The sequence below is a fragment of the Homo sapiens genome, chromosome 17, assembly GCF_000001405.40.
Source record: "Homo sapiens chromosome 17, GRCh38.p14 Primary Assembly".
Classification (NCBI taxonomy): domain Eukaryota; kingdom Metazoa; phylum Chordata; class Mammalia; order Primates; family Hominidae; genus Homo; species Homo sapiens.
In genome coordinates, this window is record NC_000017.11 from 19306859 (window position 1) to 19328986 (window position 22128).

Below are 22128 nucleotides of genomic sequence, written 5' to 3' on the forward strand. Positions count from 1 at the left end.
TGTCGTAAGTGCAATATTTGCTTTATAGCAAGGGTTTTGTGAACCAAGCCTCAGAGATTCCTTATCAGGAAAGAGGCTGGGAACAGGTGGCTGGAGTGGTTAATGATTTGGGTGTGAGTGCCCTGTTCACTTGAGAAGAGTCCCCAGGAACTGTCTGGCTTCCTTTATTCTCTTCCATGTGGATGGTGACATCTTTTTGAACATAGGAAAGCCCAAACTTGAGAGTTCTGATTGGCATAGGTGAAGTTTAGGAACAAAACGAACAAAAAAATATACTTTTTGTTTTGGTGTATTATTAAGAAATCAAGTTGTTAAGGTGGATTGAGGACTTTTCTTTACCCTCTAGCTTTATTTCTGAAGAGATACTTTGGGAAATATAATTGAGTGATAACACTAGGATGGGATTTGACTTGATTTTATTTAGAAAAATACATTTATGTTTTTATAGCTGCAACTTTCTTTTTTTTTTGGAGATGGAGTCTCGCTCTGTCACCCAGGCTGGAGTGCAGTGGCGCGATCTCAGCTCACTGCAAGCTCTGCCTCTTGGGTTCATGCCATTTTCCTACCTCAGCCTCCTGAGTAGCTGGGATTATGGGTGCCCACCACCATGCCCGGCTAATTTATTTTGTATTTTTAGTAGAGATGAGGTTTCATCATGTTAGCTAGGATGGTCTCAATCTCCTGACCTCGTAGCTAGAATGGTCTCGATCTCCTGACCTCGTGATCTGCCTGCCTCGGCATCCCGAAGTGCTGGGATTACAGGCGTGAGCCACTGTGCCCGGCCCGTTCCAAAGTAAATTTATTGCTATATGTTTTGTGTGTTTTTAAGAATTTCATGACAGGGTGATGCCTCTGCTTGGCAACCTCACATGGTAGAGAAGTTCCCAGTCTCCTGCCCGGCCCCACCTCAGCCCTCTGCCCAGAAGCAGCCTCTTTCTACCTCCCCTGGTTCTTCTGTGGATCCCGTCTGTGGCCTGAATTGCATTTAGGCCTCTTCCCCTGTTTTATTCACCATAGCCATGGCCCAGCTATCTGAAAGCCTCCTTTGTCAGGAATTATTCCTAACCTTTTAGTTTCTCTCAAAGAGGAAAACCCTAAGAAGCAAATTTAGATTGGAAAGTAAGGCAGAAGCAACACCTAGGTGAATGAATCCTGCTAGTTAGGTTTCCTAAAATAGATGTAATGAAAGAAGGAAGTAAACTAATACACAATTAGAACATTTATTTATTTTTTGAGATGCAGTCTTGCTCTTTTGCCCAGGCTGGAGTGCAGTAGCTTGATCTTGGCTCACTGCAACCTCTGCCTTCTGTGTTCAAGCAATTCTCCTGCCTCAGCCTCCCAAGTAGTTGGGATTACTGGCGCCCGCCACCACACCCAGCTAATTTTTGTGTTTTTAGTAGAGACCGGGTTTTACCATTTTGGCCAGGCTTGTCTAGAACTCCTGGCCTCAGGTGATCCGCCCGTCTCAGCCTCCCAAAGTGCTAGGATTACAGGCATAAGCCGCCATGCCCGGCACAATTAGAACATTTTAAAATGACCCGTTAACCATGAAATTGAATTCTGTAGTTGTCCATCTGTCGACCTGTGCATGCACCTGTCTGTGCATGCATGTAAGCCTCCACCCAACAGGTGTTTGTCAGCCAGGGGTGAGTGCTACAAGGGAGAGGTGCAGAGGTGCAGAGTCTGACACAGCATCAGGATGGAGGGGAAGGACCAGGTCCGGGAAGCCGAGCTCTGACTACAAAAGAGGAGGTGGGTGCGCTGAGGGAACAGCCTGCACGGAGACCCGGGAGGAGGACAGGGCAAGGAACCATCTAAAGCAGTAGCTCCAAATCTCTCAGAGGGCAGGTCTTGTTCTGAGAGTTTTAGAGAAGCTATGGACCCTTCCTGAAACGGGGGCAGAGGTGGGCACATACTTCTAAAACTACAATAATTTCTAAAAGCATTTAGATTCCCTGATCGTGAAACATCCTGATGGCTGTGTAAGCCCCAGCACCCAGCACCATGGTTTATGTTGTGAATGTTAAGACTCCCGTGGGGTTTGTTACATCAGCTAGGAGTTCACATCTCATTCATTCAATAAAAACTGTCTTTCCAGGAGCTGCTTAGAAGTATTTAAACTAGCTAAGTGCACAGCAAAAGTGTCTGCATTTTTATCTGCATTTCTTTCTAATCAGTGTACAAAGCTGCTTACAGAACGAAAATGTTTGGGGTCACTGCAGAAATGGGCGGGCTTCATTTTCCATGATCTCGTAGTAACACTACGAGAGACAAAGGTCAACTCTTTTTTTTTTTTTTTTTTTGAGACGGAGTCTCGCTCTGTCACTAGGCTGGAGTGCAGTGGCGAGATCTTGGCTCACTGCAACCTCCATATCCCGGGTCTCTAAGTGATTCTCCTGCTAGCTGGGATTATAGGCACACGCCACCATGCCCAGCTAATTTTTGTATTTTTAGTAGAGATGGCGTTTCACCATGTTGGCCAGGATGGTCTCGATCTCTTGACCTTGTGATCCGCCCGCCTCGGCCTCCCAAAGTGTGAGGATTATAGGCGTGAGCCACCGCGCCTGGCCTCAAAAGTCAGCTCTTGAATGTTGGTGTGCCTGGAGTGGAGTCTTTGGTCTCCAGATGCCCTCCACCTGTTTGAAGGATGCTCTTTGGTTCATCTGTTCAAGAGCTATACTTTGGGTCTTTGAGTTAGTTCCTTTTTTGGAGCACTGCAGATCTGCCGTGAAGACTGAGGTTCTGATCCTTGTGAGGCCTGATGGCTGGGGCTTGCATACCCAAAGGCATCTTCTCTTGGTTGGTACCAGGGGACTTCTGTAGTTGGGAAAGCTACGTTTGACTGTCACTTGATTTTAACATTCAAATATTTGTAAGCCTTTCCTTTCCTCTGCCTGCATTGTTGGGCTACTGCTGGACCTTGCGGGTTTGAGATGGGAATGGAATGTGGTCTGCCCAGGAAACTGCTGTGCAGGAGCTGTATCAGCCTTGTCTTTTGCATATGATGACTTGGTCTTCCCCAACAGCCACCTCCCCGCGAGTGTCCTCCGAGCTGGAGCAAGCCCGGCCCCAGACTAGTGGAGAAGAGGAGCTTCAGCTGCAGCTGGCACTTGCCATGAGCAGAGAAGTGGCTGAGCAGGTCAGTGCCCCAGGCAGGTCTGCACTGCATTGACTGCCCATGCTCAGGGTGGAGTGTGGCTCACTGGGAAGAAGATGGCAGACACAGCCCTGTCTTCAAAACATTTCAGATATGCTTGCTGAGATGGCATTTCATGCTGCCGTAAGTGTGTATTCTTGTCACCCAGTGTCCCTCCCAGTCAGGGAGGGATCCCATGCAAAGTTACATTTAGGAAAGATTTTCTAGGAAGTCATTGCCAAGGAAAGAAACCAGTTAAAAATGCTTCCCAGAAACACTTGTGCAGACACGTGTCTGGGCTTTCCCTGAGTGAGCTGAGCCTGCACAGGCTCTTTGAAGGGTGGCATGCAGGGTGGGCGCAGGGATGCAGGCCTGAGGGGCAGGAGCCAGCCCAGCCCCCGCCAAGCACTTTGACCTGTAGCAAGAGATTTGCAAAAAACAAAGGCTGGGAAAAAATGCTCCCGAAATGAGAGTGCTTGTGTTTTGATGATGGAAGTATGTATAGTTTTAGTTTTTTTCAGTTCCCATTTTTCTTTTCTTTTCTCTTTTCTTTTCTTTCTCTCTTTCTCCTTCTTTCTTTTTTTTTTTTTTTTTTTTTTTTGAATCAGAGTCTCACTCTGTCACCCAGGCTGGAGTGCAGTGGTGCAATCTTGGCTCCCTGAGACCTCCGCGTCCTGGGTTCAAGTGATTCTCGTGCCTCAGCGTCCCGAGTAGCTGGGATTTCAGGCGCGTGCCACCATGCCCGGCTAATTTTTGTATTTTTAGTAGAGACAGGGTTTCACCATGTTGGTCGGGCTGGTCTCAAACTTCTGACCTCAAGTGATCTGCCCACCTCGGCCTCCCAAAGTGCTGAGAGTACAGTCTTGGGCCACCGTGCCTGGCCCCCATTTTTCTTTAGTAAGCATGCATTACTTTACAACAGCGAGAAGGGAAAGGAGCAATTAGAGTGGCCTTACAAATTGTCAAGCCTTTGGTTGCAGTTATCAGGGCTGTCTCCAATGACCTTTGGTTAAAAAAGGTAGATGGGACCAGGGGCAGCACAGGGATTCCTCTCCTCTATTAGAAGTTGGTGTTCAGAGAGGAATACTGGGGATAGTTAGATTTGAGTACTGACAAGTTCATCCCGGCATTGTTTGTGTGTCTATAACTGGCAACATTCTAAAGCTCAGTGACAGTGGGCAATCTCAGTTGTGGCCTCTCTGTCCCTGCAGTGGGAAACAGGCCACCAGTAACTGCCCAGGTGGATGCATGTGGCTTCATGGCCAGCAGCCCAGGAAGAAGGTGCGTGGTAGCATCCACTGAGAAACATAGGGACAGACGGACGGTTTGAGCCCATTTTAGTTAATATTTATAATAAAATATAAGGGAGCAAGTTCAAACTCCCGTGCTGATCAGTAGTGGCATTGTCCCTGTGAATAGCTACTGTGTAGCAGCCTGGGTAATACCATGAGACCCTATCTCTTAAAAACAAGAAAAGAAAAAATACAAGGAATATATTATTTATATTTAATTATTATATTATATAAAAGCTTAGGACAACCCTGTCTTTTGCATATGGTGACTTTGCCTTAAATAAAGATAGTGAATCATTTCTGTTAGGAATCATAGAAATATGCAGCCATTTTCCGGAAGCATACACAGTGGAGGTGGAATGATACGTGATTTTTATCTTCTTTCTAATTCCTTTTTGGGTTGTCAGATTTGTGTTTTATAAGGACACACATTGCTTCTATAAGTAGAATTTATAAAGCCAGTTTCATTTTGAGAAAAAAATATTTTAGATTAAGCATTCCCTTTCCCCAGTTTGGTGGTACCTGAGCCATAGTCTCCCTGGTGTGACCCCACAGGGGTCCAAGTCACAGGAGTCGCCATGAGGGAGGGGCCTTCTGGGTACACACACATTTGGGATTTGAAAGTAATTGTGTTTTACAAGTAGTTTTGAAATCTTCCTTTGAAATACTGCATCATACAATGTGCATTTCCTGTTTCTGGCCAGTGTGGCTTTGTTCTGTACAGTGATGTTATTACAATTACCAGTTTGCATTGTCCCTCTACAGGAAGAACGCCTCAGGCGGGGTGATGACCTCAGATTACAGATGGCCCTGGAAGAAAGCCGAAGGGACACAGTTAAAATTCCAAAAAAGAAAGAGGTAAGAGCTTGCTGGGAGGGTAGATGTTTCACCCTGTCCTGTAGTTGTTGCCTCAATATCCCCCCACCAACTTGCCTGGATGGCGTGATGCACAGTGAGTTCTCCAACCTCAGCAAATAACCTTCATGCCTGTAGTGAGCGAGAGCCAGGTGAGCAAGCGACTGAAAACACACCTGAACTAACCAGGAGACACTTAATGTCCCAGTGCCTCAGTCTGCTCGTTTGTAAAATGGAGGTGATGATAGTGCCTGCCTCCTGCCGCTGTGGCTACGGCAGCTGTCAAGTGAGCTACATGCCAGGGGCTGCGGAACGCTTTCCTGCAGCAGGGTGTGCCCCCAGAAGTGCTGGTTGCCTCTTCAGCCCTGTGCCAGGCTTCCTGCTGTGATGTAGAGATGACCAGGACATGGCTGGGCTCTTGACAAGCTCATCATCATCCAGTCAAGACCCAGACCCCTTCTACACCACAGGCCCCGGGGCTCCATTGGCCTCCTCTGTTACAGTGCTACTGAGGCCGGTGGAGCCCCTGGCTCCTGACTGGTTGATGTTGATGATCCCTGATGACACATGGGGTGGTCTTGAGAGTGGGGAGCATGCAGGTGCCCGAGGAGGAGGGCCCTCAGGCTGGCCCTGGATGGTGGCTGGCAGGTGGGAGGGATGGCGTTCTGGAGGAGGTCCACAGCCTGGGCAGAAGCCAGTGTTAGCCTGGAAAAGTCTGTTGAGCCCTGAGGTCTCTGAAGTCTGGTGAGGGGGTTTAGCAAACAGTAAATAGCTTGTTGTGACTGGAGAGCTGGCTGGACGGGGAGGGAGATGGGACGGCTCAGTTTCCAAGTTCTTCTCAGCCCCTCCTAGAGGGCTTCACTGGAGGAAGAGGCACAGGTGGGTGATATTTATGGCTAGTTCATGAGTATTTGCTGTAACTGTAGCATAGTAAAACCTGTCCCCTTCTCTTTGTCTTAAAAGCATGGCTCTCTCCCACAGCAGACTACGCTGTTGGATTTAATGGATGCTCTCCCCAGCTCGGGCCCCGCGGCCCAGAAAGCAGAGCCCTGGGGCCCGTCAGCCTCCACTAACCAGACCAACCCCTGGGGCGGGCCAGCGGCTCCTGCGAGTACTTCAGACCCCTGGCCATCGTTTGGTAAAGACCCCATTACTGGTCTCCCGTGCTTGCCTGCTGGATGGGTGAGGGGCAGGGCAGTGCTTCTTGCTGTCTCTCACCCACTTGGGTCTGGTCGATTGTGGTGGGTGTCCAGGCTCCTCCAGCCCTCAGCAGTGATATCCAACTGGCCCTTGCCCTCCTCCTTGAGGATGGTGGCATGGTGTTCCCTCTTTGTTTTGAGTGGTTTTCTGCTTTGGGAGAAGGAAAGTCAACCTCCCCTCAACCTCCCATTTGCATCAGAAATGGCTTGTGCCTTCTCTGGGACATGTTTCAACTCTTGCAGCCTCAGCGTTACACCCAGCGTCCCAGCTGAAGGAACCAAAATACACAGCATGGAACATCCAAATCAAGCTGCTGTAATTAGATGGAAATTATGATGTGCTTACCACCACTGCTGATGAAAAGGGGATACATTTGCTATAATTCTGCTTGTTACTTAAAGCAATAGAAAATCCGTTTAATAGGCTAAATGAATATTTTAAAGTTTTGCTTAATGTGAGATGTAAGAGGAATTGTGGTGGGAAGTTCAAAATGTGAGCATGACACAACTGGTTTGATTTGGGTGATGATCTTGGGCCCACGAGTTTCTTAATCACTGGGCAGGAGCATGGCCCAGCAGGCTTTATGAAGGCTTCCTGGCCTGGTGCCCTGGGAGGCCCCTCCTGGTGTGCTAAACCCTACTGGGCGTGGCTGACCTGTGGGCTGTTTGGGAACTTTGTATATCTTGTGGCATCTTGCCTGTATCTCCTGGAGTCTCTGTTTCTCTCAGAACCGTCTCTTGTGTTTAACTCGGTTCCCTAGATGTTTGCTAAAATGTACCAAGTGACAGGCTGTGTTCTGCTGTGCATGACCCCTGAGACAACAGGTGATTATTGTCCCTGTTGTCTGTTGTCAAGGCCCTGCTCAGGAGCGGGCAGGGCAGGAACACAGCGTAATAGCAGTACTGTGTAGTCCAGGACTCGATGGAGGTTATTTGAGAGCATCCTGGGATGAGATGAGACTCAGTACAGGAGTCCAGGAGTGTGAGGTAAGCATTTTGGAGGAAGGCCACTTCCGTTGAGTCCCCAGGGAAAAGAAGGTGTCCAGGCACCAAGAGGCAGGGAGTTCCCTGCAGAAGACTCAGCGTGTGAGAAGCAGAGGGGTACGGAGTGGTGGAGTGGGTGCAGATGCAACCAGCTGGTGTGAACTGGGAAGCAGGGGAGAAGGGCCCAGATCACTCAGGGCCTGCACTCAGCCTTACCAAGTGCTTGGACTTGGTCCAGAAGACACTGTCAGCCCCCGATGCCCTTTAGCATCTGGTGAGTTCCAATAGCTTGATGGTGGCCTCTGTAACCCAGGCAGGGCCTTATACCCCCTTTGGCAGGAGCCCTCTGGGCCTTGGGAAAAGCCCCAGGCAAAATTGCCCACAGCTTTCATTGACTGAAGGCCAGTTCCAGGGCTGCTCAAGAGGTTGGTTCACAAGGTTTGTCACTTGTGTGTGGTACCCCCAGGGAGCCTGTGGTATGGTTTTACTCACCACACATGGGGACTGTGGTGCCCCAGGGCTGGCAGACCCTTTTAGACAGTGGCTTTGGCTTTATTTTTAAATCTGAAGAATGATTAGTCTGTAAAGTGATGGCCACCATAAGTTATGGTTAGGATGTTTTCAGGAAAGACTGTTCATTAAACTGTCGGATAGTTGTCTTAGTGCCCTGTAAAGAAAGTGGTCACACCAGGAGCCAGGTGGGTTTAATAGAGTTAAATTCTGGGGAGGGAATTGGGGATCAGAGTGGTGGGAAGGAGACTTAGTTTTAACACTTTACCTTTTTATATTGTTTGGCTTGTTTACCAGGGGTAAGTTTTTCCCAGTCAGGAGAGACAAAAATCTCAAAATATCTTTAAATGACCAAGTTATGCCCAGCCCCTCCTTTGGCTGGTGAACAGGGCTGTGCCCTGGACCCAGTGTTCTGGGCCGAGCCAAGGACCTGACCTGACCCTCTAGGAACATAGCGTAATAGCAATACCATGTTGAGAGCACCCTGGGGTGAGACTCGGTACAGGAGTCCAGGGGGTGTGAGCGGAGGAGTCTCCCCTGATGAATGGGGGCAACTTGGTGGGCTTGATGGGCTGCTGCTTCACCTAGGAATGCTGCCCATGTGAATCTGCCCTCCCAAATTTTAAGAACTTGAGATAAAATTCACCATTTCAACTTTTTTTTTTCTTTTTTTTGAGACAGTCTCACTATTGCCCAGGCTGGAGTGCAGTGGCACCATCTTAGCTCATTGCAACCTTCGCCTCCCAGGTTCAAGCAATTCTCCTGCTTCATCCTCCTGAGTAGCTGGGATTACAGGCTTGTGCCACCACACCAACTAGTTTTTTATTTTTAGTAGAGACGGGGTTTCACCATGTTGGCTGGGCTGGTCTCAAACTCCTGACCTTAAGTGATCCGCTTGCCTCGGCCTCCCAAAGTGTTGGGATTACAGGCATGAGGCACCGCTCCTGGCCCATTTCAACCATTTTAAAGCGGACACTTCACTGGTTTTCAGCACATTCACAATGTTGTGCAGCCACCATCAGATATCTAATTCCAGAACATTTCCATCACCCCAGAAAGAAACCGCATACCCAGGCCCTGGCAACCAGTATGTGCTTTCTATCTCCAGGGATTTGCCTCTCTGGACATTTCATAGAAACGGAGTCATGCACTGTGTGGACTTTTGTGCCTGGCTTATTTTGTTTAGCATCATGTTTTCAAGGTTCATCAATGTTATAGCGTGTGTCAGTCCTTCATGACTTTCTGTGGATGAATAATATTCCATTGCATGGATATACAACACTTCGTTTAACCATTCAGCAATTGATGGATATTTGGGCTGTTTTCACATTTTGGCTATTATGAATCCAGTTTTTTAAAGAGAAGATAGAAACCTGGATTTTTGAAATCTAGTGTTTAAATGTTGGCTGTGAATTTTAAAAATTAAGAATATGGTTTGAGCTAATTAAAAGCTATCTGAGGATGGGCACATGTGGCTTGTTGACTGCCAGTTGGCCATCTCTTGCCACTTGCCCAGCCTAGGACCTTCTTGGTTCTGATGCACTTGGCATTATTACCAGTGACTTGGGGAGGAGATAGGCCACCAAAGCCCATAGACATTGTTAATAGGTTTGGGACAGGCTCAGTGCTTATGGCACCATGTCCTGTAGTTGTCACACCATCCTGGACTGCTGCAAGGCCCTTCTGTGGCCCTGGCATGTCCTGGAAAAGTCACCACAAATTCCAATATGGAGAGATAGCCACTGTTAAAATGTTAGCTTGTCTGCTTCCTGTCTTTTTTCTGGGCATTATGTTTTTACTCAGTTGAAGCTATATTGTATATATAATTACGTGTGTATGTATGTGTATATTTCAATTTGTAGTGTCATGAGCATTTCTAGGCATCATTAGAAATTCTAAACAATACCACGCTGTACCATCATTTACTAAGCAGCCTAGTGATGTTCATAGGGGTGTTTTTGCAGTTCTGGCACTCTGCTTTCAATAGAAAAATACATTAAAATCACAGTGATTTCTTTTAATTCTGAGATTCTTTTCTCAGTGGTGGTGTTGACCAGCTCTGCAGGAGAATGGCCCTCTGCTAGCTCCTGCATTCACTGAAGCGTGTTAGCACACCCTCTGCTTCCACATTCCATCAGCGTAGCCTCAGAGCAAGAGTGTGGTATTGGATTTATTGTTTAGCATCTAGTTAAATCCAATAGTGCAAATTTTCAGGGTCACCCCTCCATCCTGAGACTCATTCATAAATTAGAAAGATTGGAGTCCCTTCCCCTAACAGTGTTAGCTGTGCCCTCTGGATGAAAGAAACACTGTTTTGAAAGCCACCATTTGTAGTGAGCCCCATCATTACCAGTTTTTTCCAAGCAGCACTAGGAGCAACTTGGCCAAGTGGCCTTGGGAGGAAATGCTCAGGGTTGAAAGGAGGGAGATTGGAGCCTGCCAGGTCAGTGGGGCGCTTCCTCCTCTGTTCCAGACACACAAAGCAGCCACCTGGTCTGAGGAGGGCTTATAGCCTGCTGATTCAGAAGACCTTGGCTGGCTGGAGCCCTCTCTCTGTACTCCCGCCCACTGCCTGGGCTGGGACAGAGGCTGTCTTCCGCCCTGGCAGCAGCAGGTGGTGCTACTGGCTTCTTGGTGACCTCTGCACGGCTCAGTTCTTCTGTGACGCACCACCCCCCCGCGTTGTGACTGCCTCCCTGTGCACATGAATATTCATCTGTGAGGCTCGGGATGAGCCAGGCTGGCGGGTGGGAGGCGACCGGGACACAGGCTCCCTGTGAATGGGCCCCACAGAGGAAGAGGCCGGAAACTGCTTGATCTTTCAAACCTTGGTTCCATCTTCGTTTCCTCTCATTCACTTGAGCTTTCAACAAGCATTTATTGATTGGGTATGTGGCATGGCCTGGACCCTGCCGAGGACGTGGAGAGGGAGAGCACAGAGAGAAGCCTTGCAGCGGATCTACTGTCCATTCATAGAGGAGGAGCATGCCCATTGCCTCCCCGAGCCAGCAGGCGTTCCCTGAGGGTACAGCTGGCCCTCAGGGAATGATTGTGACTTTGTGACTTTGTCTCCAAGTCACATTTCAAGAAAGCAAGGTGCCACAGTGTGTGACCTTCCATGACTCCCCCGCACACAGCAAAGAAGGAGGTCACACTGGCCACGGGACTTTGTATGTGTCTGGGGGGCTTTGCCCATTTGTATAGTCTGAATTCAGCCCAGCAGTTTGCAGTGTCCTATACACATGGGTCCCCAGTGTCACTTGCAGAATGCAAACTAGACAGAGCCCACCCACGCCAAACAGCTTGTCCATGATTACCTGGGTGATTTGGAGGTGGTCAGGATTTGATTCAAGCACAGACTTCACTCTATGTTCAAAGCTGTCTGGGCTGTGACCAACTTTGTCTGTGTGGGCTATAAGAGTAGGGGGTTCTTGGCTGGACATGGTGGCTGACGCCTGTAATCCCAGCATTTTGGGAGGCTGAGGTGGGCGGATCACGAGGTCAAGAGATCGAGACCATCCTTGGCCAACATGGTGAAACCCCATCTCTACTGAAAATACAAAAACTAGCCAGGCGTAGTGGTGGGCACTTGTAATCCCAGCTACTTGGGAGGCTGAGGCAGGGAGAATCGCTTGAACCCGGGAGGCGGAGGTTGCAGTGAGCCGAGATCATGCCACTGCACTCCAGCGTGGGCAACAGAGCGAGACTCCATCTCAAAAAAAAAAAAAAAAAAGAGTAGGGGGTTCTTTCTGAGCCAAAACTTGTAGTTTCAACATTGTGCATGATACAGTTGCAGAGTTTTAAAATTCTTAGCAGTGCTGTTGTTTGTTATTTTAATAGCAGATTCTAAAGGGGAAGCAGGGCCCATAAGAGCTAACTGGAGGTGTCAGAAGAGTCTCTGGAATAGTTTCAGGTGGCATTCCACTGGAGTGTGGGGTTCTCACGTGGAAGCCTGGCCCATGAGTCCTGGATGGTGGGTCAGCGTGCTGCTGGCTCATGGAGAGTGCTTCAGAACCCGTGCAGTGGAGATACTGCACATATTGCAGAGTTCATGGTAGAAAGAATTCTTCCGGAAATGTTGGCTGGGCATGGTGTCTCACGTCTGTAATCACAGCACTTTAGGAGGCCAAGTTTGGCAGATCACATGAGGCCAAGAGTTCGAGACCAGCCTGGCCAACATGGTGAAACCCCGTCTCTACTAAAAATACAAAAAATTAGCCAGGTGTGGTGGTGTGTGCCTGTAATCCCAGCTACTTGGGAACCTGAGGCATGAGAATCGCTTGAACCCGGGAGGCAGAGATTGCAGTGAGCCAAGACCATGCCACTGCACTCCAGCCTGGGCAACAGTGAGACCCTGTCTCAAAAAAAAAAAATTTCCAGAAATGTTAAAATGCCTTGTGTTAACTCTTAAAGATATAAACCTATTAGTTTAAACTGTGTTTAGAACCTCACTGTCTGAGAGTACGTCTAGATGGAAGGACAGATTCTACTTTTTAAATTTTTTTTTTGAGATGGAGTCTCGTTTTGTCACCCAGGCTGGAGTGCAGTGGCGCAATCTCGGCTCACTGCAACCTCTGCCTTCCAGGTTCAAGCAATTCTCCTGACTCAGCCTCAGCCTCCCAAGTAGCTGAGATTACAGGCGAGTGCCACTACGCCCAGCTAATTTTTTTGTATTTTTAGTAGAGACGGGGTTTCACCATATTGGCCAGGCTGTTCTTGAACTCTTGACCTCATGATCCACCTGCCTTGGCCTGCCAAAGTGCTAGGATTACAGGCGTGAGCCACCTCGCCTGGCCCCTTTTTTTTTTATTTTTTATTTTTATTTTTTTTTGAGAGAAGGTTTCCCTCTGTTGCCCAGGCTGGAATGCAGTGGTATGATCTGGGCTCACTGCAACCTCCGCCTCCCAGGTTCAAGCAGTTCTCCTGCCTCAGCCTCCCAAGTAGCTGGGACTGCAGGCATCTGCCACCACACCCAGCTAATTTTTGTATTTTTATTAGAGACAGGGTTTCACCATAGTGACCAGGCTGGTCTCCAACTCCTGACCTTGATCCACCCGCCTCGGCCTCCCCAAGTGTTGGGATTACAGGCGTGAGCAGCGTTGGGATTACACCATGCCCAGCGACAGATTATACTTTTGCAGGGAGCCTGGGTGTGCAGCGGCTGAGGCCAGAAAGGCGAAGCCTGAGGGACCTGGGGCTCGGAGCAGAGCTCAGAGACTCCTCTCTGGTGAGGGCCTCTGCAGGGGCTCAGGCATCCTGGATTCCCTTAAATGCCTAATCTTTATATTGTGTCTCATTGTCTGCCTGGCAAACTCTTATGTATTTTTGAAATCATGGCTCAGACATCCCTACTCAGGGGATGTGGTCACCCCGTCCTCAGGCCTGCCTCTTGCCCTCTTGCCATTGATGGCTGCCTGTGACCCGCATGCTGGCTGTAGTGGCTGTCTGTTTCTCTATCTCAGAGGGAGGGGCCATCCTGGGGCCAGGCCTGGGGACTGCTGACCAAATGTTGCTTGGATAGAACAAGGTGACCGTGGGAGACCAGAGCTTGTCTCCACCACGCATCTGCCCACTCAGGCTTGTAAGTCTGAGCTGGGTGCTCACATGGGGCCTCATTTTTGAGGAGGGCTTGGTGAGAGGTCTGGGTGCACCCAGAGCTCAGTGTTTCTTATGCATCCTGTCTGCCCATTTGAGTCATCTCAGTAGCTTCTAAAAATCCAAATGCTCAGGCCCACCCCAGAATCTGTGTGTATGCAGAGGACAGCATCAGTATTTTACTAAAATCCCTAAGAGCTTCCCAAGAAGAACCATGGTTGAGAACCACTAGTCTGGTGCCCCCTGGCCCAGGGTGCATGAATACCACTCAGTCTAAGACACTTGAAAGCTCCATGTCTTAGATAATCAGGATGGAGATTATGGGCCACTCTAATCTGGTTGTGTTTCTGAGCCCCTGAATTGGACATTTATCCAGAACCTGTTAGAAGTGGTCACTGAACTCCAGTGTGCAGAGATGCAGATAAACTGCAAAGTCCCTGCCAGCCTGAGGTCCTGTGGGTCCCTTGATCCTTGTGACCTCTCTTCAATCCCTAGTTAGTGATGGAGCACACCCTCTGTGTGTCAGGCTTGGATCTCGGGGATGGGCAGCAAAGCAGACCCAGCCGATGTTCTCATGGAGCACATGCTTTGGCAAGGGGGACAGATGCAGTCTCACATGCACACAAGCGGCATGAGTGCCCTGAGAAGGGTTTTGAGCTGGGTTTAGAGTGGGAACTGCATGGCGGGCTGGCATAGAGGCTGCAGAGTGGGGGCTGGGCCTTCCCAGCAAGTGCCCCACATACAGTATGTCAGGGGAGCCAGTTTGTTCGAGATGTGATGCTGCCCTCAGCTTGACCCAGTGGCTAGGAGGTGACCACCAACACTCAGACCCCCTTTGCTGTGTTGTTCACCTCAGAAGCTCAACCCTTTGCTCTGGCACGCACAGTGGCTGCCTCTGGTGCCCACCTCATAGTCCCAGTTAACACAGCCCAGGGAATAGAGAGAGTGGATTTCTCTGTAGCTCCAGTACCATTTCTGGGATTTAGGGATGGGGGACTGGAGTTGGGGACACTTTGCAGATTGACTTTAACCAGTGAGAACCCTTTTCTGTTGCCAGGGCAGGATCTGTCCCTTTTGAGACTGACTGGAAGTGGGTGAGGGGAGAATTCTTCCAAGGAGAACCAGGGCATCCTTGCAGGAGAAAGCAGGAGTGGGGGATAGAAGTAACCGGGGCATGTCCCCTGACAGAGGCAAGTGGGAAGGGATAGTAGCTGGGGAGTGAGATATTGTGCAGGGGAGATGATGCATGGTCAGGGCTGCAGGGAAAGCGAGGCTCCAGTCTGTTATCCAGGCACAGCTGGGCTGCTGAGCATGGGCAGTGAGGAAGGCATGTTGACTCCCCCAGGCTCCACAGGGGGCCAGAATCAGCCTGGCACTTGGCCCCAGGTCTCCCGTGTCCTCTGTGTTGTGTCACCGCAGTCCTGAAGTCACACCACAGCTCTTCGGCTTGCAGTCAGCTCTCTCCCTGATTTGTCATTTCCACCATGCCACTTACGTCCAGCTGGGACAGAGAGCTGAGGACCCACAAGGTGTCCTGTTGCAGGGGGTTAGAGTGAGGGCTTGTCTCTACAGTGTGATTCCAGCAGGGGGCAGATTTTTGTTTACTGATAGCCCCTTCCCCATGTCGAGCAGAGGTGGACCTGGCAAGGGCAGCTTCAGTCCTGGGGGAGGACGATCTGCATGAGACACTGGAAGACGAGGAGTGAAGTGTCAGAAGAAGCTTCTGGATGGAAACAGTTATTTCTGGAGCCTCTAGAAGGTTGTGGGTTCTGGGGCAGTAGCAGGAGAAGCCCTGAGTCCAAACAGGAGTGGACAGGCCATGAGGAAACGAAAGGCACAAGTATCCATGGGATGTTGGGAACAAAGCTTGCAGATTGACATCTGCTTTGGCCTGGCCAGGCCCCCATCGCCGGGGCAAGCTTGGGAAGGAGTGAAGGCAGCACTCTCCTCCTCTCCCTCCTAGTGCTGCTACAGCTAGCCAGTAGCTGATCCCGGCCAAAAGTGAAAAAGGCCACCAAGATAGTGGCTGGTGGGCCAGGTGCAGTGTCTCCTTGCGCCTGGCCAATAATATATTTTTACGTAAGAATTTGTGGGACAACTGAAACCTGTGAGACCAGCCTGGGCAACATAGGGAGACCCCATCTTTACAAAAAATAAAAAAATCAGCCAGCATGGGGGTGTGTGCCTGTGGTCCCAGCTACTTGGGAGGCAGAAGTGGGAGGATCCCTTGAGCCTAGGAGGTTGAAACTGCAGTGAGCTGTGATTGCACCACTGCGCTCCAGCCTAGGTGACAGAGCAAGAACCTGTCTCTAAAAAAAAAAAAAAAAAAAGGTAGTGGCTGGTGTGGCTTAATAGGCCCTTACTAAAGCTATTCAGCATTTCAGAGACGAGAAGGCATGAAGCTACATGTAGGATGCCTAGCAGTTGGTTCATCTTTTTGAAAGCCAAGGAGTCTCCTCTTCACCTGTCCATCCTTGAGCAGCAGAGCTGGGGCTTTTAAGAGAAGCATTTGTAGAATTCAGAGTAGGAATGAGGGAAGAGACTAGTTGTCTCGGAGGCTCAGGGGAGCATTCCCTGGTCTTCTGAGATTGACACATCACTGCCACCTTCTGCTGCCTTTCTCTAGGCCTCAGAGCTCAGCCAGGCTGTCACAAGCTTGCTGGGTGCCACCCTAATGTCTGGTGCCAGGGCTGAAGGTAGCCCTCACTCCAGGGAGTTTACAGTGCATGAGAGACTCATAGTTAAATAATAGTTATGGTGCTGTATGATAAGTGATCTAAAAGTCAAGGGGGGGATTCCAGAGGAGTCAGAGAAGGCAGGAAGAGAAAATAAGAGGGCCGGAGAGGCCCAGAAGATGCCAGGCATTTGGGAAGCAGTTGGGAATCAGTGTGGCTGGGGGTAAACACGGGAGCAGAGTGAGGACACCTAACACATATCTGTTTGGAGTTTCAGAAGAGCTAATATTTGAAAGCTGACAGGGTTTTCCAGAATTTTGGAAAGATGCTCCTTCTCAGATCCAGGAAGCCTGGTGAATCCTAAGCAAGATAAATCAAAGAAATCCCCACCTGGACATATCATCAGGAAACTGCAGAACACCAGAGGAAGAAAATACCTTAAATAAACCTACAGAGAACAGGCCATTCATTACAAAGAAATGGCAACTAAATGGATAGCTAACTTATTGACAGCAACAGTAGATGTCTGAGTGGCATAGAGTCTTCAGTGTGCTGCAAGAAAAACACAGTCAACTAGAAAGCCATTGCTAGCAAAATCATCTTTCTTCCAAGAATTGATAATTTTTTTAAAAAAGATATTTTAAATTTGGAAACAACAACAGCAACAAAAACTGCCAACCCCCAGAATTCTGTATTCAGTGAAAGTGTTCTTGAAGAGTAAAGTTGAAAGGATGACATCTGTTAATAAAACACTAAGAGAATTTGTTGCCAGCACATCTGTACCACAGAAATGTTAAGAGAAGTTCTTCAGGCTGATAGGAGGGAAAACCAGATGGAAACTCAGATCTTCAGGACAGAATGAAGAGCATCGGAAATGGGAAATAATTTGGGAGAACATTTCAGAAGTAATAAGGATATAAGAAAATTTGAGCGGCACAATCCATAAGCTTATGAATTTGTTGTTCCCAGCAATTGGAGAATACACATTCTTTGCAGTCACATGCAGAATACTTGGAAAAAATTGATGATGTCCTAGACAGAAAAGCTAGTCTCAACAAATTGCAAAAAATTGGTATCACATATAACACAATTTCTGATCACAGTACACTTATGTAAAAAATCAGTTAAAAGGATAAGTAGAAAACCTTCATACACCTAAAATTTTAAGAACACTTCTAAATTCTTGAGTCACAGAAAAAATTATAATGAAAATCAGATATATTTAGAACCAAATTAAATATATATTTAGACGGAGTTTTGTTCTTGTTGCCCAGGCTGGAGTGCGATGGCGTGATCTCAGCTCACTGTAACCTCTGCCTCCCGGGTTCAAGCAATTCTCCTGCCTCAGTCTCCCGAGTAGCTGGGACTACGGGCATGTGCTACCACGCCCAGCTAATTTTGTATTTTTAGTAGAGATGAGGTTTCTCAATGTTGATCAGGCTGGTCTCAAGCTCCCGACCTCAGGTGATCCACCCACCTCGGCCTCCCAGAGAGCTGGGATTACAGGCATGAGCCACTGCGCCTGGCCAATAGTATATTTTTACATAAGAATTTGTGGGACAACTGAAGCAATAGTAAAATAAATTTATAGCTCTAAATGTTCACATTAGTAAAAAAGATATAATGAAGTTAGAATAGCATTACACTGACGTAAAATAAAAGGAAATTATAAGGATAAAGATAGAAATTAATGAAAAGAACATAAACACATAATAGTATCCGTAAAGACAAGTCAGTAATTGAAAAGAGTAATAGACAAATTTCTGGCAAGAAATTTTTTTAAGAGGAAGGGCACAAACAGCATTAGGAATGAAACAGCATAACTGCCGGCACACTCAGGATTTCATGTCGGGTGAGAGGCTGACTCTTTGATCAGCTCTGTGCTTACAAATCCAAAAACTTAGATAAAATGGATAAAATTAAAAAGGAAACAGCAAAGCTAACTGAAGAATAATAAAAAACCTATAAATAGAAATCTGTAATCATGGAAGGTATGGAATCGGTATTTAAAAATCCTCCCCTTCTGCAAATCCACCCAGAGGGCTTTGCTAGTAAGTACTAACAATATTCAAGAAACAATCCCACTTTCATACAAACTCCTTTAGAGAACAGGAAAATAAAGAATATTCCTAGTCATTGTATGAGACTAGCAGAAGCCTAATGGCAACACCAGACAAGGGCAGTGCAGTGAGAACAAACATTTCAGGCCAGTCTGGTTATGAATATAGATGTAAAAATCCTAAGGAAAGAAACAATTACAAAACCCAAGCCAGGGAAATATTTTCAAAGATGTACATTATGAAGTACTTTGTTTGCAAGAACCAACTCATTAGAAAATTTACAAATGTACCATATTAACAGATTAAAACAGAAAACATGTGGTCATCTTAGAGGCAGAAACCATTTGATAAAATTCATTAGCCATTTATTTCCAAATTCTAGCAAACTTGGAATAATGGCAAACTTCCATAACCTGATAAAGGGCTTCTAAAAGGAAAAAAGCCTATAGCTAACATTGAACTTAATGGTAAAATATTAAAAATTGATCCTGTAACATCAAGAGCAAGACAAGGATACCAACTACCAGCACTTCTATTTGATGATGTAACTGGTGATCCTAGCCAATGCAGTAAGACAAGAAAAAGACAAAGTATAAAGGACTAGAAAGAAGACACTAAATAGTCATCATTTGCAGGTGATGGGATTGTACATAGAACATGAAAAAATTTCTACAGATAAGTTATTAGAATTAAGAATTATTTGAATTATTATTAGAATCAATAATTGGAATGACTTCTAATTAACAGTTTGGCAAGATTGCTGGGTACAAAAGAGTATACAAAAGTTTTTCTGCATAACAATAAATAGATTTCTATGAAAAGTTTAAAAGATACTAGTTCCTAGAAATAATGCTTAGTTCCTAGGAATAAATCTTACAAAAGTTGTACAAATATCTGTGGGAGATAAAGGGTAAAAATTAAAAAGATTAAATTTGACCAAAAGATATTAAAACTTAAGCAAATGCAGAGATACCATGTGATCTTGGTTTGGAAAACTCACTATTGTAATGATAATGCTTCTCCCCAAATTGATCTTGGATGCAATGCAATTCTGGCCAAAATCCCAAAAATATTTAATTTTTGTTTCTTCACTTTTGTTTTTTAACTTGACAAGATGATTTTGAGATGACTACAGAAGAGCAGAGGGCCAAGAATAGCCAAAACAAGATTGTGATTTGCTGTATCAGATATCAAGAATTCTCATAACACTGTTTGTGAGGATAATTAAGAAGGTGCAAGTGGCCAGGCGTGGTGGCTCACGCCTGTAATCCCAGCACTTTGGGAGGCCAAGGCGGGCAGATCACAAGGTCAGGAGATCGAGACCATCCTGGCTAACACGGTGAAACCCCGTCTCTCCTAAAAAATACAAAAAATAAGCTGGGTGTGGTGGTGGGTGCCTGTAGTCCCAGCTACTCGGGAGGCTGAGGCAGGAGAATGGCATGAATCTGGGAGGTGGAGCTTGCAGTTAGCGATGATTGCGCCACTGCACTCCAGCCTGGGTGACAGAGCGAGACTCCGTCTCAAAAAAAAAAAAAAAAAAAAGTGCAAGGACGGAAATAGGTAAATGTAGAGAGCCCAGTAATAAGCCCACAAAGACTTGACTTACGACAGAGGAGGCCCTGCATACCATGCTGCGAGGAGTGGATGGACTCTAGTCCATGCTGCTGGGATGAGTCAAGAAGAAGGTAACCATAAGGGACGATCGGTAAAAGACTCAAATTGGCACCTTATAGGAGAGGAATCATGAGTGACCCATGAGTATATGAAAAGATGCACAGCCTCATTAAAGAACAGGGAAATGCACATCAAAACCACAATCAAATAACTTTTCAGCCCACCAGATTGGCACACATGGGAAAGTAAGCTAATACTAAGCATCAGAGAGGTTATGAGGCAACTCCTGGGGCGGCAAGACTGGCACCCACTGCTGGATGGAACATAAACTCGTGCCACCATGTGGAAATAGTTGTAGCATTCCTTGGTGAAGGCAGAGGTACCCATGACCCAGCAACTCGTGTATACATGTGAACAAGAACAAGCAGCAAAACCAAACGAGTATCCTTCAACAGAGGAATCATGACTTTTTTTTCATAGAATGGAACAAAACAAATTCCAGCTCCACCTCAACACAGATGACTCTCTCAAATAAAATGTGGAGTGAACAAAGCCAGCCACAAAGGAATGTGTACAGAATGCTTCTATTCATATAAAGTTCGGAAAATAGGGACTTGGCATGGTGGCTCACACCTGTATTCCTAGCACTTTGGGAGACTGAGGCAGGAGGATTGCTTGAGCCCAGGAGTTTGAGACCAGACTGGGCAACACGGTGAGACCCCATCTCGACGAAAATTAGAAAAAAAATTAGCCGGGCGTGGTGACATTCCTGTAGTCCCAGCTACTTGGGAGGCGGCGGTGGGAGGATCGCTTGAGCATGGGAGGTGGAGGCGTAGTGAGCTGTGATTGCACCACTGCACTCCAGTCTGGGTGACAGAGTGAGACCCTATCTGATAAATAAATGAATACACACACATATTTAGACACACATACATATACATAATATATATGTGTGTGTGTATTCAGAAAATAGGCACAACTAACTAAAGGTATCCCTACAAGATAAACTAGAAGGAGAAACAAGAGAAAGGCTAATAAACAGTTCATAATGGTTGGGGTAGGAATGTCATTGGGGAGGCACTTTCTGGTCCCTGAGAGGCGGCAGTGGTGTCTGAACACTTGCAGTGCTCCGCGAGAAGGAAGGAGATGTTGGTTTTATTTTATATGTACTCATGTATACACAAATCTGTGTCTATACATAAAGATGCACATCACAGCGTTGACACTTAACATTAGATGCACTCAGATGTTTTAGTTTTTTTGTGTGTGTTTTTTCTTTTTTTAAAAATTTTTTTCTCTGTTTTTTAAAGCCAGTTGTGACCCACTAAATTGATTTTGTCACTCCCTGTTTGAAAGTGTTTTATTGCTTAAGTTGGGTGGTAAGTATGTAGCTGTTTGTTTTATTCCTTTTTATACAGGACTCATCCATTTATATATGCTTCTGTCAGAAAGCAGAAACCACTCAAAGCACATGGGGAGAGGATGCCTCTGTGCCTCTACAGAGCCTGGGCCGAGGTGGGAGGGCTGCCTGGGGCCCCTTGTCTGAGGAGGGAGCCTGGATTCTGTGGGGAGATAGGTTTGTTTCAGATAGTCCATCGAAGTGGGGTTGAGCTCAGGAGCCCTTTGCAAGCCCCCTGTATGGTGGGGAGCTTGGAGAGAACCTCTTTCAGCTGCTTCCTCTGGTCATTACTAGAGGACAGGGAGAGGTTATCCTGGGACATCCTGGCCTAGCATGCTTCCTTACCAGGGTTGTTGGCCCTGGGCCCCAGCTGTGTCCCTCTTTGCTGGCGTGGGACAGTACCCTTTTGATGGCTGTCTCACCTGGCACAGGGCATAGACCCTGGTGTGGCTGGCAGTATCCTTTTCCCTTCTCACCCCAGCTGCCCAGACCCTCTGAAGGCATTTCTGAGCCCTGACCCTGCCTTCCAACAGGTACCAAGCCAGCTGCCTCCATTGACCCATGGGGGGTGCCCACTGGAGCCACCGTACAATCTGTCCCCAAGAACTCGGACCCCTGGGCAGCTTCACAGCAGCCTGCCTCCAGTGCTGGGAAAAGAGCTTCTGACGCGTGGGGCGCAGTCTCCACCACCAAGCCCGTGTCTGTCTCTGGTGAGCCCCTCACTCACCCACTTTCCTGCCTGGCCTCTGAGCGCCCACGGGCCCTGCAGCCGCTCCTGGCTCCTAGGCATCAGCCCTGTTGCTTTGCTT

The 22128-nt window shown here is 47.4% G+C and overlaps 1 protein-coding gene across 3 annotated transcripts in view, besides 3 other annotated features; it reads left to right on the plus strand.

The window, feature by feature from the left end:
• EPN2 (epsin 2) overlaps window positions 1-22128 on the plus strand; it is a 99350-nt gene that overhangs the window by 69493 nt on the left and 7729 nt on the right. For all 3 annotated transcript variants that reach the window (NM_014964.5, NM_148921.4, NM_001102664.2), the window contains 4 exons: window positions 3027-3139; window positions 5194-5286; window positions 6247-6421; window positions 21853-22029. In NM_014964.5, coding sequence (NP_055779.2) covers window positions 3027-3139; window positions 5194-5286; window positions 6247-6421; window positions 21853-22029 — 558 coding nt within the window. The remainder of the gene's footprint in view (window positions 1-3026; window positions 3140-5193; window positions 5287-6246; window positions 6422-21852; window positions 22030-22128) is intronic.
• Window positions 2064-2980: an enhancer, noted in NCBI's record as "H3K27ac-H3K4me1 hESC enhancer chr17:19212235-19213151 (GRCh37/hg19 assembly coordinates)". NCBI's record gives its function as "activates a minimal SCP1, AML or CMV promoter by ChIP-STARR-seq in primed H9 embryonic stem cells {active_cell/tissue: H9 hESC(primed)}" and the evidence as "EXISTENCE:reporter gene assay evidence [ECO:0000049][PMID:30033119]".
• Window positions 2981-3896: an enhancer, noted in NCBI's record as "H3K27ac-H3K4me1 hESC enhancer chr17:19213152-19214067 (GRCh37/hg19 assembly coordinates)". NCBI's record gives its function as "activates a minimal SCP1, AML or CMV promoter by ChIP-STARR-seq in primed H9 embryonic stem cells {active_cell/tissue: H9 hESC(primed)}" and the evidence as "EXISTENCE:reporter gene assay evidence [ECO:0000049][PMID:30033119]".
• Window positions 10308-10847: an enhancer, noted in NCBI's record as "OCT4-NANOG-H3K27ac-H3K4me1 hESC enhancer chr17:19220479-19221018 (GRCh37/hg19 assembly coordinates)". NCBI's record gives its function as "activates a minimal SCP1, AML or CMV promoter by ChIP-STARR-seq in primed H9 embryonic stem cells {active_cell/tissue: H9 hESC(primed)}" and the evidence as "EXISTENCE:reporter gene assay evidence [ECO:0000049][PMID:30033119]".